A 16,963-nucleotide genomic window follows, 5' to 3' on the forward strand; every position below is an offset into this window, starting at 1 on the left:
ATAAGCCTTCGTGTTTTTGTTTGTTTATTTGTTTTTGTTTTGTTTTTTGTTTTTGAGATGGAGTCTTGCTGTGTTGCCCAGGCTGGAGTGCAGTGGCGCAATCTCGGCTCACTGCAACCTCCGCCTCCCAGGTTCAAGCGATTCTCCTGCCTTAGCTCCCTCAGTAGCTGAGATTACAGGTTCCCACCACCATGCACAGCTAATTTTTGTATTTTTAGTAGAGACGGGGTTTCTCCATGTTGGTCAGGCTGGTCTTGAACTCCTGACCTCAGGTGATCCACCCACCTCAGCCTCCCAAAGTGCTGGGATTACAGGTGTGAGCCACCTTGCCGGCCTCAATAAGCCTCCTTTTTTTTCTTTTTTCTTTTTCTTTTTTTTTTTTTTTTTTTGAGATGGAGTCTCACTCTGTCGCCCAGGCTGGAGTGCAGTGGCGCGATATTGGCTCACTGCAACCTCTGCCTCCTGCATTCAAGCAATTCTCGTGCCTCAGCCTCCCGAGTAGCTGAGATCACAGATATGTGCCACCATGCCCAGCTAAATTTTTTTTTTTAATTATTTTTAGTAGAGATGGGGTTTCACCATTTTGGCCAGGCTGGTCTTGAACTCCTGGCCTCAGGCGATCCGCCCTCCTCGGCCTCCCAAAGTGCTGGGATTACAGGCATAAGCCACCGCACCCGGGCAATAAGACTTCTTAATAATTAACAGAATAAGTAGTCAGTCAATATCAGCAACGACATAGTAGACATGAGCAACACTACTAACCAACTAAACCTTAATAACATTTGTAGAATACTCCTTCAACAACAGCAGAATACACATTATTTTCAAGTGCACATAGAAAGCTTACAAACGTATATTCTGGGCCATCGACAGGCCTCAATACATTAAAAAGGACTCAAGTCAAATGAGAAATGTTCTCTGAACACATTGGAACTAAATTTGAAATCAATAATGGAAAGATTCTTGTAAAATCCCCAAATAAAGGGCTTCTACAAAAATCCTACATCTAACATCATACTTAATGGTGAAAAACAATGCTTTCCTCGTAAGATCTGGAATAAGACAGGAATATCTACACTTATCACTTCTCTTCAATATTGTACCCAAAGTTCTAACTGGCTTCACCAGTGAATTCTAGCAAACATTTAAAGAGGAAGAAAACACTAATCCTAGGCCAGACACAGCGGCTTACACCTGTAATCCCATCACTTTAAGGAGGCCAAGGCGGGAAGACTGCTTGAGCCCCAGAGTTTGAGACCAGTCTGGACAAAACAGCAAGACCCCATCTCTACAACAAATTTTAAAATTAGCCAAATGTGGTGGTGCACACCTGTGGTCCCAGTTATTCAGGAGGTTGAGGTGAAAGGATTGCTTGAGCCCAGGAGGTTGAGGCTGCGGTGAGCCATGTTCACACCACTGCACTCCAGCCTGGGCGACAGAGTGAGAACCTGTCTCAAAAATACATAAAACACCAATCCTACACAAACTTTTCTGGAAAAGATATCACAGACCTGAGGTTGCACAAATAGTATAAGGAGGAATTTATTGCATCAGAAATAATTTTATATGAAGGAATGTATCCTCTCCTTCTGGACAAACTCATCTTTTCCCAAAGTCTCAACAACCATCCACTTTTATTTTTCTTGAGATGGAGTCTCACTCTGTCACCCAGGCTGAAGTGCAATGGCATGATATTGGCTCATTGCAACCTCCACCTCCTGTGTTCAAGCGATTCTCATGTCTCAGCCTCCTGAGTATCTGGGATTACAGGCACCTGCTGCTACACCTGGCTAATTTTTGTATTTCAGTGGAGACAGGGTTTCACCATGTTGGCCAGCTAGTCTCGAACTCCTGGACTCAGGTGATGCACCTGCCTCGGCCTCTCAAAGTGCTGGGATTACAGGCGTGAGCCACTGTGCCCAGCCACAACCATCCACTTCTGAACATGCATCCCAGGCCCCTCTGCAGAGCCCAGACACACATATCCAATTGCCTACTGGATATTACCAATGGGATAGATAGATAGATAGATAGATAGATAGATAGATAGATAGATAGATAGATAGATATACCCAGAATGTATTTTTTCTGTCCATTGGCACTCCATGAGGGCAAAGACTTTGCCTGTCTTGTTCCCACCTGTATATTCAGTGCTCAAGATACACAGTAGCTGACTAAGAGTTTAGTTCCTATTCAAGAAATACCTTCCTGCAAAGAAAATAGCCCAGAGGGCTTTGCAGTTGAGTTCTACGAAACACTCAAGGAACAGATTACTTTAGTACTGCATAAACTCTTACAGAGAAGCGGAAAAAAGAGGCTTAAATCTCCAATTCATTTTAAGAGGATAGTGTATTAGCTCCATAGAAGTGCCATTATAGACGACCACCAACTGAGTGGCTTAAAACAACAAAAATTTATTCTCTCACAGTTCTGGAAGCTGGAAGTCTGAAGTCAAGGTGTCTGCAGGGCCGTGCTCCCTCTGAAACCTGTCGGTGAATCCTTCCTCTCCTCTCCTAGATTCTGGTGGTTTGCCAGCAATTTTTGGCGTTCCTTGGCTTGCAGCTGCAAAACTCCAATCTCTGCCTCCGTGGCCACATGGCATTCTCCCAGTATGTTTCTGTCTTCACATGGCCATCTTCTTATAAGGACATCATCCTAACTAATTACATCTGCAACAACCTTATTTCCAAACTTTACATAAGATCATATTCTGAGCTACTAGGGGTTAGGACTTCAACATCTTTTTGGCGGGGAACACAATTCAACCCATAAAAGATAGCATAACAAACAAGGATCACTTGAGGCCAGGAATTTAAGACCAGCCTGGGCAATATGGTGAGACTCTGTCTGTAAATAAATAAAAATTTAGCCAGATGTGGTGGCGTGCACCTGTAGTTCCAGCTACTGGGGAGGCTGAGGTAGGAGGATCACTTAAGCCCAGGAATTCAAGGCTGCAGTAAGCCATGATCGCATCACTGCACTTCAGCCTGGGCAATAGAATGAGACCCTGTCTCTAAAAAATAAAAGTAATAATAAAATTTTTTTAAATAAAGGAAATTTTCAGGTTTATCTCCTTCATGAACATAGATGCAAAAATCCTAAATGAAATACTAGTAATACATAAAAATGTTAATATATTATAAACAATAAACAAGTTGGGTTTATTCCTGGAATACAATGTTAGTTTAATATTGGAAAATTAAATAATGTAATTTACTTTTTTTTTTTTTTGAGACAGAGTTTCGCTCTTGTCCCCAGGCTGGAGTGCAGTGGCATGATCTCAGCTCACTGCAATCTCTGCCTCCCAGTTTCAAGCGATTCGCCTGCCTCCCAAGTAGCTGGGACTACAGGCATGTACCACCACACCTGGCTAATTTTTTGTATTTTTAGTAGAGAGGGGGTTTCGCCATGTTGCCCAGGCTGGTCTCAAACTCCTGGTCTCAAGTGATCCACCTGCCTCAGCCTCCCAAAATGCTGGGATTACAGGCATGAGCCACCTTGCCTGGCCAATTTACCATATTTACAGATTAAAAGATAAAACTCTTGTGGTTGCCAAGAAAGACACAGAAAAAGCATCTGACAAATCTTAACATCCATTTATAATTTTTTTAATTAAAGAATTAGCCAGGTGTGGTGGTGCACACCTTTAGTCCTAGCTACTTAGGAGGCCAAGGGGGGAGGATGACTTGAGCCCAGGAGGTCGAAGCTGCAGTGAGCTATGATTGCATCACTGCACTCCAGCCAGGGTGACAGAATGAGACCCTGTCTAAAAAAAAAAAAAAAAGCTGAGCATGATGGCTCACACCTCTATTCCCAGCATCCTAGCCCTTTGGGTAGCTGAAGCAGGCAGATTGCTTGAGTCCAGAAGTTCAAGACCAGCCACGGGCAACATGGCAAAACCTCGTCTCTACAGAAAAAAAAAAAAAAAAAAATTAGCTGAGCATGGTGGTGTGAGCTTATCCTACCTACTTGGGAGGCTGAGATGGGAGGATCGCTTGAGCCCTGGGAGGTCAAGGCTGCAGTGAGCAGTGAGCAATGATGGCGCCACTGCACTCCAACGTGGGCAACAGAGCAAGACCCTGTCAAAAAAACAAACTCCTATCAAACTAGGAAAAGACAGGACTTTTTTTTTAACGTGATAGTCTCTACAAAATATGTTCTCAATGGGAAAAGTTGAAAGATTTTCCTTTAAATCAGGAAAAAGACAAGGGTTCTAGTATCAATATTGCCATTCAACATTGTACTGAAATTAGCCGGGTGTGGTGGCAGGCATATGTAATCCCAGCTTCTCAGGAGGCTGAAGTGGGAGAATCGCTTGAACTCGGGAGGCAGAGGTTGCAATGAGCCGAGATCACGCCACTGCACTCCAGCCTGGGCGACAGAGTAAGACTCCGCCTCAAAAAACAAACAACAACAACAAAAAACACATTGTACTGAAGAATCTAGCCAGTTCAGGAAAACTAGAAAAAGAAACGAAACTTTAAGAATGAGTAGTCTGTGGAGGTCAGTGATTGTGGAGGGCAGGGGGCATCTGTGAGGCTCAGGTCAAGAGCTCAGGCTGCAGGATGACAATGTCAGGGTTACTTAAAATAAAGCTCCTGAATATTTCAGTGCGCATCCTGGGCAACCTACACTGCCTACCCTCTGCTGACAAGATTACAAACTTCTCTGCTGACAAGATTACCTGCCTAGGCCGAAAACCAGGAGATCTGTCCTAGGACTGTCTCCATGCTAGCCTTTCTCTGAGTCAAACTGTGAACCTGGTAGGACACGTGAAGGTCGGATTTGTCCGAGGGAGTGGAAGTACCTCACAGGATACATGGAGATAGGATTTACCACAGAGAGGTGGGGGAGCAGCTGCCCTGCAGCAAAGCCAGTCCCCATTCATGATCTCCCCACCTCTCGCCCTGCAAGTCCTGAATCCACAGGGGTGTATCCCAGTGTGTCACTGCCCCTATTCCCACAAATCTTCTATGGCTTTGCGCTATGGAAAGGACTTTCCACAACAATACTAGGACATTGTATATATTATATACTATATATATTACAGTATTATATAGCATATGCATTCTATATTATCTCCATTTTCTAGATAAGGAAACTTCTGAGGCTCAGAAGGAATCAGAAACTCGACCAAGGTCATACTATGTTAGTAAGTAGTAGAGCTATGTACCAAATAAATGTAGGTCTGAATCTAAAGGGAGACTATTACCTAAAAAATTCAACTCTGTGCTTTCCTGGAGACCCATTCCCACCTGCCTGGGGCAGCTGTTTCCCACAGGGTCCTCCAAAGTCTCCAAACAGTAATCACACATAGGCCCAATCACTGACCCTCCAAGAATCCAATTAAGGAACCAAAGAAACCACAATCAAGGCCGGGCACTGTGGCTCATGCCTGTAATCCCAGTGCTTTGGGAGGCCAAGGTAGGGGACCTCTTGAGTGGAGGAGTTTGAGGCTGCAGTGAGCTATGATTGAACCACTGCACTCCAGCCTGGGTGACAGATCAAGAAAGAAAGAAGAAAGAGAAAGAGGCCGGGGGCAGTGGCTCATGCCTGTAATCCCAGCACTTTGGGAGGCTGAGGTGGGCGGATCACTTGAGGTCAGGAGTTTGAGACCAGCCAGGCCAACATGGTGAAACCTCATCTCTACTAAAAATACAAAAATTAGCTGGGCGTGCTCGCTTGAACCCAGGAGGTGGAGCTTGCAGTGAACTGAGATTGTGCCATTGCACTCCAGCCTGGACAACAGAGCGAGACTCTGTCAAAAAAAAAAAAAAAAAATAGAGAGAGAGAGAAAGAGAAAGAATGAAAGAGAGAGAAAGAGAAAGAATTAGAGAAAGAAAAGAAAGAAAGAAGAAGGAAGGAAAGGAAGGAAGGAGGGAAGGAAGGAAGGAGGGAAGGAAGGAAGGAAGGAAAAGAGAAAGAAAGGAAGGAAGGAAAAGAGAAAGAAAGAAAGAGAGAGAGAGAAAGAAAGAAGAAAGAGAGGGAGGGAGGGAGGAAGGAAGGAAGGAAGCACAGAGCGTCACTCATCACTGGCTCACACGAACACTACCACTATGGCCCCTCTCCCAATGATTGACAGCCACAGACCCTCAATCAGTAGCCTCAAAGGCCTCCAATTATTAATTACCTCAGGATTCGAGTCCCTGGAGCCTCATCCTGACACCACTGGCAACCAATCACTGATCTTCCAAAACTGTGGCCAGACCATAGAGACTGTCAGAGCATAAAGAAAAATCCCTCCACTGTTGATTGTCAGGGTCTGCGAAAGGTCTGAGACTTCACCCTCTTACAAGCTAACATGTTTTAGAGATGCTGACAGAAAACATGAGACTCCTGAGGCTGAGACAAAGGATTTTCCTGCTCCTAGGACAGCAAGCAGCTTGCACGTCACGTGGGCACCTGCTCCCCATGTCCTCCAAGTCCCACAGCAGTGATGCAGAGGGTCCCTGGTGGACATTGCACACACAATAGGTTTACATCACAGCCAAGAAACACTGAGCATGGGTGATCCAGCCTGTTTTTTGCCCCAGAGGGAGACATTGCCTCATCCCACAGGGTTGCTCGGTGTCATCACAACCCTGAGAAATGGCTGGGGTAATCAGTGATTGGGGCCTTGTATCTTTAGGCAGCTACAAAGTAGTAAAACTAAGGCCAGGTTACTATACGCTACAACCCACACAAAGGAATTTAGACTGATGCGCTGACGTTTGGCATACTGTCAATAATTTAGGGGGCAATACATGGGCCCCAAAGCAAACCCTGTCCCAGTGGAGAGACATTCTGTTACCTACTGTTCCCCCCATATACAAATATACCATCCAAAGGGGAACAGTTCATTTCACTTCAGCATTTGTTGTTCAACTTGATTGGACTCACCATTACATTGGTTTGGTAAAGTGTTATGAGCAGTAGTCTATTCAGGCTGCTATAATGGAATACAATAGACAGGGTAGCATATAACCAACAAGTTTATTTCTCACACGTCTGGAGGCTGGAAGTCGAAGATCAAGGTGCCAGCAGATTTCTGCATCTGGTGAGGGTCCACTTCCTGGTTCACAGATGGCCATCCTCTCACTGTGTCCTCACATGGAGAAAATAACAAGGGAGCACTCTGGGGCCCCGTTTATAAGGGCACTAATTCCTTTCATGAGGGCTCTGCCCTCAAGACCTAATCACCTCCCAAAGACCCTACCTTCTAATACCTTGGGGCTTAGGATTCCAACATATGAATTTTGAGGTAACATAAACATTCCACCTATAGCAAGTAGCATCTTAGTGCTTGTACTTAAATCTCTAAACGTGGCATAATCCAAGGCCACTTGGGTGCCAGGAGAAGCAGATGAATTTGGATCAATCAGATCTAAACAAGGTTGTGCTGGCCCACGTATGTCTACAGGTATGAGGGAAGCCTGTGTTTAGGAGCTGCTGTTGATGGCATCAGGCACAGCAGAGTAATTCAGGAGCAGCCATACTCACATGCTTTTTTCTGGTTTTGTCACCCAAGGACGGTGATGGCAAACCTAGCAGCAGGTTAGATTGCCAGCTGCACCTGCTGCTTGACTCCAGCAGAGCAGATGATTGTTTTGTTGGGCTGTGAGTGCTCGATCTAGGGGACAAAGAGAGCATTCATTTTCTCCCCATCTTGCACCTCTCAGGGTCTAAGATATTCCCTCCCTGTATTAGTCCATTTTCACACTGCTATAAAGAGCTACCTGAGACTGGGTAACTTACGAAGAAAAGAGGTTTAATTGACTCAGAGTTCTGCATGGCTGGGGAGGCCTCAGGAAACTCACGATCATGGCAGAAGGTGAAGCAGAAGCAAGAACCTTCTTCACAAGGTAGCAGGAGAGAAAGCGAGGGAAGAAAGCCACCCACTTTTTTTTTTTTTTTTTTTTTGAGACAGGGTGTTGCTCTGTCACCCAGGCTGGAGTGCAGTGGCGTGATCTCGGCTCACTACAACCTCCACCTCCCAGGTTCAAGACATTCTCCCGCCTCAGCCTCCTGAGTAGCTAGTACCACAGGCACACACCACCACGCCCAGCTACCTTTTGTATTTTTAGTAGAGACAGAGTTTCACCATGTTGCCCAGGGTGGTCTCAAACTCCTGAACTCAGGCAATCTGCCCACCTTGGCCTCCCAAAGTGCTAGGATTACAGACGTGAGCCACCGTGCCCAGCACCATGCACTTTTTAAACCATCAGATCTCGTAAGAACTCATTCACTCACTATCACAAGAACAGCATGGGGGAAACTCCCCCCATAATCCAATCACCTCCCATCAGGTCCCTCCCCTGACACAGGGGGATTACCATTCGAAGTGAGATTTGGGTGGGGACACAGAGCCAAACCAACCATATCACTCCCCAAATGCTCTCCTTCCACACCTCATGAAATCAATGTATCCCATCCCAGAGCCTGTAACTTCACTTTTTCCCAATCATCCCCTATTTGTACCCAGACCTTTCATCCAGAAGGGTCAAGTACAAGAGGGCCAAAGGCATTTTTATAAAATTTACAGAGATTTTTTTTTTATGTCTTCTATCTTAGTCAGTGTGAGCTGCTGTATGGGAACTTGGTGAGTGGTGTACTCAATCAAGTGGTCATTGTCATTAGGATCTAGGACCGTGTCCACCCAACAAGAGAATTCAGGTGACTGACCAGAATTAACTTTAAGTCCGAGCCAGGCATGGTGGCTCACACTTGTAATCCCAGCACTTTGGGGGGCCAAGGTGGGCAGATCACCTGAGGTCAGGAGTTCGAGACCGGCCTGGCCAACATGGTGAAACCCTGTCTCTACTGAAAATACAAAAATTAGCCAGGCGTGGTGGTAGGTGCCTGTAATCCCAGCTACTTGGGAGGCTGAGGCACGAGAATCACTTGAACCCAGGAGGCAGAGGTGGCAGTGAGCTGAGATTGCGCCACTGCACTCCAGCCTGGGCAACAGAGCGAGACTCAGTCTCAAAAAAAAAAAAAAAAAGTTTAAGTCCCCTAGGGCTCTTTTGGGCTGGGCTGCTGCCTGGAGGGTTACCAACTAGGCTAGCCTGGAACCTGTGATTACTGTTAAAGGAAAGAAAAATACATCACGTCCAGGAACGGCCAGGGCAGAATCCCAAATGCCTCTATAGCCCACCCCTTTTGTTCCGACCATTATCTGAGGTACCCAATGGGAGATAATGCCATTCTTGGGACAGCCACATTTAGTGACCAAACTGCCTTACTAAGGTGAGTGGACCAGGAGAAGGAGAGAGAGGTAGGTTCTGCAATCCTTTTGAGTTCATTTTTGAGGAGGCCATTTCAATATTTAACAATATCAGATACCTGCCCATGGTAGGGCACATAGAACATCTATGGAAGGCTTTGACTACTGACCCATAGTTGGGTGGCCTTTGCAACAAAAGGCACACCACTGCCAGACTGCAAATGGTCTGTGTCAGAAACATAGAGTCCTTTACTTTGTGCCCAGTCTATGATGGTGGATGCATTGCCATGTTCAGGGGGCAGTGAACTAGAAGTGCATCAGCTGTTTGATTCCAGTCGGCCTCATCAGAGAATAGGCTCTTACTATGGGCGTCTACATGGGTGACCCAGACTGACCAATTCCACCAGTAGCTCTCTACCCGCTTATCTGTTAAAAAGGCATATGATGTTTTAAAACGTTTGAAAGTCTCAGCTTTAGAACAGTTTAGCTTTTCCACTAACCATCTATTACTGATCTCCACAGACCCCAATATTGTCCCTAGAACCCTTCCATCACTCACCCCAGAAATCTTCTATCAGAAACACCCGCCCTCCATTGTAGCCTCTCAGGCCTAAAATCTCAAATCAAATTCCAATCCTAGGCCAACTCCCCAACCCTAAGACTGCCTTTTCTGGGGCGGCTCTTTTTTCACAGGTGCAGTGAGGCCATCGTTTCTGTACAGCGCGGAAAAGCTAAACTGTTCTAAATCTGTGACTTTCGAATTTTTTAAAGCATCATATGCCTTTTAAAAAACAGATAAGGCCGGGCGCGGTGGCTCACGCCTGTAATTCCAGTACTTTGGGAGTCCGAGGCGGGCGGATCAATTGAGGTCAGGAGATCGAGACCAGCCTGGCCAACATGGTGAAACCCCGTCTCTACTAAAAATACAAAAATTAGCCGGGCGTGATGGTGGGCGCCTGTAATCCCAGCTACTCAGGAGGCTGAGGCACGAGAATCGCTGGAACCCGGGAGGCGGAGGTTGCAGTGAGCGGAGATCGTGCCACTGCACTCCAGCCTGGGCGACAGAGCTAGATTCCGTCTCAAAAAAATAAAAAATATAAAATAAAAAACAGATAAGCGGGTAGGGAGCTACCGGTGGAACTGAGTTTCCTCTTTAAGGGAAACGAGGACAAGGACAAGATCCCGTCTTTTCTGCACTCAGTCGCCCCGCCCCCAACGCAAGTAGGCATGTTTATTGGATGATAAGAGGGTCAGTCAAAGTAAGGACCAACCCTCTACTGCCAAAAGACACATACTACTCAAGGGCCCCTGACTCAGACGTTCTCACTGGTCGGAAATGCCATCAATCAAGTTTCAATCCCCGCCCCCTTCTCGCGGAAGAACTATGGGTGCTAACCTCTCTCTCAGGCCTGCTGTCAATCGGCTCCGCATCCTCTAGTTCTGCACATCCCCGGCCATCAGAGCACGAACTTCTGGTCGGTCCGCCTGCCGTTCTTTCACCTATAGAGCCCACCCTCTAAAGGTGTCCAAGCTGCTCCAAAGAACAATTGATTAACCCAACGGCTGTCTTTGGCCCTCAGAACTGTCACACCTGGCTCCGCCTCTTCCCGGACATCATCTGTTGCACCAGAGACTGGCGGGTCTGGAAAGAAGCTCTGAGCCCATCCGCGTTTCTCTGTTGGACCCTGTCAGGTCTCTTGTTCCGTGTCCAATGTCAGTCGGGTAGGGAGGCAGTGGGGCAGTCTTGGTTCTCATCCCACCCCGGAGTCTCTGCGCAGCCACAATTCAGGAAAACAATCTGGAGGCGGGTTCAAAACACTAAGATTGATTGAACGCGCTGATGGTTTGGTTTTCTCCTATAGCGCTTTGGTAGTGGCTTTTATCCAGACCGCCCCCCCCCCACCCCCCCGGAATGAACCCTGGTATAGAAATGTTACCCGTATGTGTGCATATGATTGTTTTTAATATATTTCAATTTGATGAATCAGCCTTTTTCAAGGTCAGATTCCAGACCGACCCTTCTGGCGCCCACCCCCCGCTTTTTTTTTTTTTTTTTTTTTTCCAAAATGAAAGCTTTCCCAAAGAGGCCACGTTTGTAGGGCTAGTGGAATTTTTTGGAAAAGGGAGAAAGCGGATTCTGGATGAGGACAATGGTGGCCCAGAAGTCGCTATGACTTAAGAGTCTTGGCAGAGGCAGAGGCTGGGGAAAGCGAGCAGTGTTTTTCATTTAGGTGGCATCTGTACGAATCCTAGTTTGGAAAGGTGCGAAGGTTATGTGCCTTTGTTTTTAATATTTTGGATTTTTAATTTTCTGTTTCTTTTTTTCACTTAGTTTTTATCTTCGAAGTTTAATTTTGCTGTTTTTTTATTTCATATTCTTAAAAATTGTATAATTAAATTTTATTGCTACTGGCTTTTAATTAATTCATTAATTAATTTTGAGACGGAGTCTCGCTCTGTTGCCCAGGCTGGAGTGCAGTGGCGCGATCTCAGCTCACCACAACCTCCGCCTCCCGGGTTCAAGCAATTCTCCTGCCTCGGCCTCCCGAGTAGCTGGGACTACAGGCACGCGCCACCATGCCTGGCTGATTTTTGTATTTTTAGTAGAGACTGGGTTTCACTATGTTGGCCAGGCTTGTCTCGGACTCCTTACCTCATGATCCACCCGCCTCGGCCTCCCAAAGTGCTGGGATTACAGGCGTGAGCCACCGCGCCTGGCCTTACTTATTTTTAAAGCAAATTCTTCTAGATCCTGAGTTTCTGGCTTTTTAAATTAAAATTACAAGAAAATGTATTGATTCCTCTGGTGTTAACAGGTCTGGAGACATACATTTATGATGCTTTGGAGCTATTGATAATATATAGAGTACTTTATTCATTAATTATTTCATTCTAAAAACCCTGCTTTATATATCCCCAGAATACTAAGGCCTGGTGGGGAATATCTTATAAATAATTAATGGTTATTACTAATTATTAATAATAACCGTCAATGAAAGTAAGATAGAAACTGTTAAGAGATTCAGTTAAGTACTGTGTAATTTTGTGTTGATTATATCTGCCAGTAATATTCATCATGCATTGCATAGAAGTGGGATTGTCTTTCTTTTTCTCCTAGCTGGTTTGTGAGAAAATTGTGAGCAATTTTGCACAGGGAGACTTCGATGTCTGACTAACATTTATTGACTGCTTGTATGTACTAGGAATAATTCTAAATGCTGATCATGTGTTATTTTTTTCTCTTTTTTTCTTTTTATTTGTCATTCTAAATGCCCTTCATGTATTGTCTCATTTAATCCTCACAAATAGGCACATTTATTCTCGTCATACTACAGATGGGGAAACATCCGTAAGTGGCAGAGATGGGATTTGAACCCAAGCCGTCTTAAGGACTGCACTGGAACGGTGTTTTTTGTTTTCTAAAATGGGGGTAATAATACATGTAAAGTGATTAGAACATATAGTTAGCTCTGAATACATGGCAGAACTTACTGCAGTTATGGCCTTGTTTAAGGCTCCCAGCCACCCTGTGAGTTAGGGATCAACATGATCCCCCTTTTCTACAAGAAGAAACAGGTTCTGAGAGAATAAATGACTTGCCCAAGGCCACTCGGTACATGGCCTAGCTGGGCTCATGCTGTGGTCATTTTCCTGCTATAAACCCTTCCCAAGTTCCACACCCTACTCTGGATGAACTCTTGGTGCATTAAGGCTTTTGATTCATAAAATTTAAATATATTTCTAAGCTGGGTACGGTGGCATGCACCTATAGTCCCAGCTTCTCGGGGGGCTTAGGTGGGAGGATTGCTTGAGCCCAGGAATTCAAGTCCAGCCTGGGCAATATAGCAAGAACCCATCTCTAAAAATAAACAAATAAGTTTCTGAACACACACATGTCAAACCCCTGTGTGATCTGGCCCCAACCCACCAGTCCTGCCTTATCTTAATGGATTTAGGGGTTTTTAAAATTTATTTTTATTTTATTAGTATTATTTCAGTAGTTTTGGGGGAACAGGTGGTGTTTGGTCACATGAAAAAGTCCTTTAGTGGTGATTTCTGAGATTTTGGTGCACCCATCATCCGATGTGGAGTTTTTTACCCCTCACCCCCTTCCCACCCCCTCCCCCCAGTCCCCAGAGCCCATTGTATCATTCTTATGCCTTTGGGTCCTCATAGTTTAGCTCCCACTTGTAAGAGAGAACAGGGCGGACGCGATGGCTCACGCCTGTGATCCCAGCACTTTGGGAGGCTGAGGCGGGTGGATCAATTGAGGTCAGGAGTTCCAGACCAGCCTGACCAACATGGCGAAACCCTGTCTCTACTAAAAATACAAAAATTAGCCGGGCCTAGTGGTACACACCTGTAATCCCAGCTACTTGGGAGGCTGAGGCAGGAGAATCGCTTAAATCCGGGAGGCAAAGGTTGCAGTGAACCGAGATCACGCCACTGCACTCCAGACTGGACGACAGAGCGAAACTCCATCTTAAAAAACAAAACAGAACAAAAAAGTGAGAACATACGATGTTTGCTTTTCCATTCCTGAGTTACTTCATTTAGAATATAATGGTTTAAAAAAAAAAGAATATGATGGTTTCTTTCCTTCCTCCCTTTCTTCCTCCTCCTCTTCTTCTTTCTCTCTCTCTCTCTCGCTCTTTCTCTCTCAGTAAAATAACCTAATTTATTTTTTTAAATTCCCAGTACCATGTCTTAAACTTATGAGTAAGGAAAATAACGATTGTTATTCGGGGTGATGCCCGAATCCTCACTGCTAATGTGAGACGAATTTTTGAGCTGGTAAAGGTCGCCCCTAAGGTGACCAGCCTACTTTGCGGGATGCCTAGGAGTCGCGATCTGCCTGACACCTTTACACCTAAAAAGTAGACTGGGGGCCTGGCGCGGTGGCTCACGCCTGTAATCCCATCACTTTGGGAGGCTGAGGAGGGCGGATCACGAGGTCAGGAGATAGAGACCATCTGGCTAACATGGTGAAACTCCGTCTCTACTAAAAATACAAAAAGAAATTAGCCAGGCGTGGTGGCGGGCTCCTGCAGTCCCAGCTACTCAGGAGGCTGAGGCAGGAGAATGGTTTGAACCCAGGAGGTGGAGCTTGCAGTGAGCCTAGATTGCGCCACTGCACTCCAGCCCGGGCAACAGAGCGAGACTCCGTCTCAAAAAAAAAAAAGAAGTAGACTGGGGCCGGGTGCCGTGGCTCACACCTGTAATCCTAGCATTTTGGGAGGCCAAGGTGGGTGGATCGCTTGAGGTCAGGAGTTCCAGACCAGCCTGACCAGCATGGTGAAACCCGGTTTCTACTAAAAATACAAAAATTAGTTGGGTGTCGTGGCACACACCTGTAATCCCAGCTGCTCTGGAGGCTGAGGCATGAGAATCACTTGAACCCCATAGGCCGAGGTTGCAGTGAGCTGAGATCGTGCCACTACCCTCCAGCCTGGGTGACAGAGTGAGACCCTGTCTCAAAAATAAAAAAAATAAAAAATTTCCCAGTACCATGACTATAACTAAAAGGACACCATGCCTAATGCAGTTTGTGTGTGATATGCAGGGAAAACATTTGGAGAGTGAGTAATAAAAGGGGATTGGAATTTTAAATAAGGAAAGTCCACTTTAAGAAGGTGATGTTTACCAACGACTTGAAGGAGGTGAAGGAGTTGGAAAGAAAACAAAAAGACAAGGCTGGCTGGGCACAGTGGCTCTCACCTGTAATCCCAACACTTTGGGAGGCCAAGGCGGGGAGACTCCTTGAGCCCAGGAGTTCCAGACTAGCCTGGGGAACATAACAAGACTATGGAGACTATTTTTTTTTTTTTTTTTTTGAGACAGAGTTTCGCTCTTGTTGCCCAGGCTGGAGTGCAGTGGCACAATCTCGGCTCACTACAACCTCCACTTCCCGGATTCAAGCAATTCTCCTGCCTCAGCCTCCCAAGTAGCTAGCATTACAGGCATGTGCCACCACGCCTGGCTAATTTTTTCTATTTTTTGTAGAGATGGTGTTTCTCCACATTGGTCAGGCTGGTCTTGAACTCCCGATCTCAGGTGATCCACCCGCCTTGCCCTCCCAAAGTACTGGGATTACAGGTGTAAGCCACCATGCAGGACCAAAAAAATCTTTTTAAAAAAGAACAAATAATAATTTGGGGTAATGATAATAGCTAAATAAGTAAATATATACCACTTTTTTTTTTTTTTTTCGAGACAGGGTCTCACTCTGTCACCCAGGCTGGAGTACAGTGGCATAATCATGGCTCACTGCAGCCTCGAATTCCCGGGCCCAAGCAATCCTTCCACCTCAGCTTCCCAAGTAGCTGGAACCACAGGTGTGCGCTACCACCTGGGTAATTTTTTAAATTTTCAGAGACGAGGTTTTGCCATGTTGCCCAGGCTGGTCTCGAACTCCTGAGCTCAATCAATCTATCCGCCTTGGCCTATCAAGTGCTGGAATTACAGGCATGAGCCACCATATCCTGCCCCACCACTTTCAATAACAGAGCCAAAACTTCGAAGTAGTGACTGCCAGGGTTCCAAAACCACCTTCCATTTTGGGGTCCACAATTTGAACATTCCCCAAACCATTGTCCCACAATCTCATTTTTGAAGAAGTTTTTTTTAATTTAAAAACTTCCATGATTACTGTATTAATATGAAGATTAATTCATTCAGCCAGCCAATGTTTACAAACAGCTAATCTGTGTCAAACAACATTGTAAGCACTCAGATTAATCCTCTCGATATCCTTACGAGGTAGTTAACATCATTAGCCCCAGTTTACAGAGGGGGAAAATAGGAGTATGAGGTCACACATTTAGTATGGAGGAAGCTGGGATTTGAACCAAGGCAGTATGGCTCCAGGGGACGTTACCCTAACCCCTGTGTTAGACTGTCTTGAAAGTTTTACTCGTCTTTCAAAGTTCTCTCTTCAATTAGACACTTCCCTCAGATCTTCATCAAACGTCATTTTTAAATTTAATTTTTTTTTAAGAGATGGGGGTCTTGCTCTGTTGCCCAGGGTGGAATACAGTGGCAGGGATCATAGCTGACTGCAGCCTTGACATCCTGGGCTCAAGGGATCCTCCTGCCTCAGTAGCTAGGACTACAGGTGTGCGCGCACATACAAACACATACACACAAATACTATATTCTTCCCTGCTTCATTTTTCTCCTCAACATATATCACTATCATATTATATATTTTACTTTTTTTTTTTTTTGAGGCAGGGTCTCACTCTGTCACCCAGGCTGGAGTGCAGTGGCACAATCTCAGCTCACTGCAGCCTAGACCTCTGCGATCCTCCCACCTCAGCCTCCCAAGTAGCTGGGACCACAGGCACATGCCACCATGCTTAGCTAATTTTTTGTATTTTTAGTAGAAATGGGGGTCTCGCCATGTTGCCCAGGCTGGTCTTGAACTCCTGAGCTCAAGGGATCTGCACCCCTCAGCCTCCCAAAGTTCTGGGATTACAGGCATGAGCCATGGTCCCCAGCCTGTATTTTACTTATTTAGCTATTATCTTTACTCCAAATTGTTAATTATTCTTTAAATTTATTATCTGTCCCCTACAGATAATAAATAAGCTTAATAAATCAATAAGCTTCCTTCCTCTTGAAGGAAGCCCCAAGAGGGCAGGAATTTTTGCCTGTTTTATTCACTGCTGTATCCCTGTCACATAGTAGGCACTTGATCAATATTTGTGAGATGAATGAATAAATGATTGAATGAACAAATGAATCCTTCTTCACACTTAT

The 16,963-nt window shown here is 45.4% G+C and overlaps 2 long non-coding RNA genes and 1 pseudogene across 4 annotated transcripts, besides 2 other annotated features; 2 read left to right on the forward strand and 1 right to left on the reverse strand.

Moving 5' to 3' along the window:
- Positions 1-6,953: 6,953 nt before the first annotated feature.
- LOC105373193 (uncharacterized) lies at positions 6,954-10,784 on the reverse strand. Of its 3 annotated transcripts, none has more exons than XR_949046.3 (3): positions 10,599-10,688; positions 7,480-7,609; positions 6,954-7,077 (listed from the first exon to the last, which is right to left on the reverse strand). It is a non-coding gene; the product is annotated as an uncharacterized LOC105373193 (long non-coding RNA). The 3 variants fall into 3 exon arrangements; XR_949045.2 differs by having other exon boundaries at positions 6,954-7,084; XR_007068223.1 differs by having other exon boundaries at positions 6,954-7,609; positions 10,599-10,784.
- Positions 10,558-12,424, forward strand: LOC107985720 (uncharacterized). The gene is made up of 2 exons (XR_001756002.2): positions 10,558-10,677; positions 10,783-12,424. It is a non-coding gene; the product is annotated as an uncharacterized LOC107985720 (long non-coding RNA).
- Positions 10,869-10,978: an enhancer, noted in NCBI's record as "active region_29580". NCBI's record gives its function as "activates an Ori minimal core promoter by ATAC-STARR-seq in GM12878 lymphoblastoid cells {active_cell/tissue: GM12878}" and the evidence as "EXISTENCE:reporter gene assay evidence [ECO:0000049][PMID:35858748]".
- Positions 11,009-11,088: an enhancer, noted in NCBI's record as "active region_29581". NCBI's record gives its function as "activates an Ori minimal core promoter by ATAC-STARR-seq in GM12878 lymphoblastoid cells {active_cell/tissue: GM12878}" and the evidence as "EXISTENCE:reporter gene assay evidence [ECO:0000049][PMID:35858748]".
- RNU12-2P (RNA, U12 small nuclear 2, pseudogene) lies at positions 13,906-14,058 on the forward strand (annotated as a pseudogene).

This window comes from Homo sapiens, chromosome X (assembly GCF_000001405.40).
Source record: "Homo sapiens chromosome X, GRCh38.p14 Primary Assembly".
In the NCBI taxonomy this organism is placed as follows: domain Eukaryota; kingdom Metazoa; phylum Chordata; class Mammalia; order Primates; family Hominidae; genus Homo; species Homo sapiens.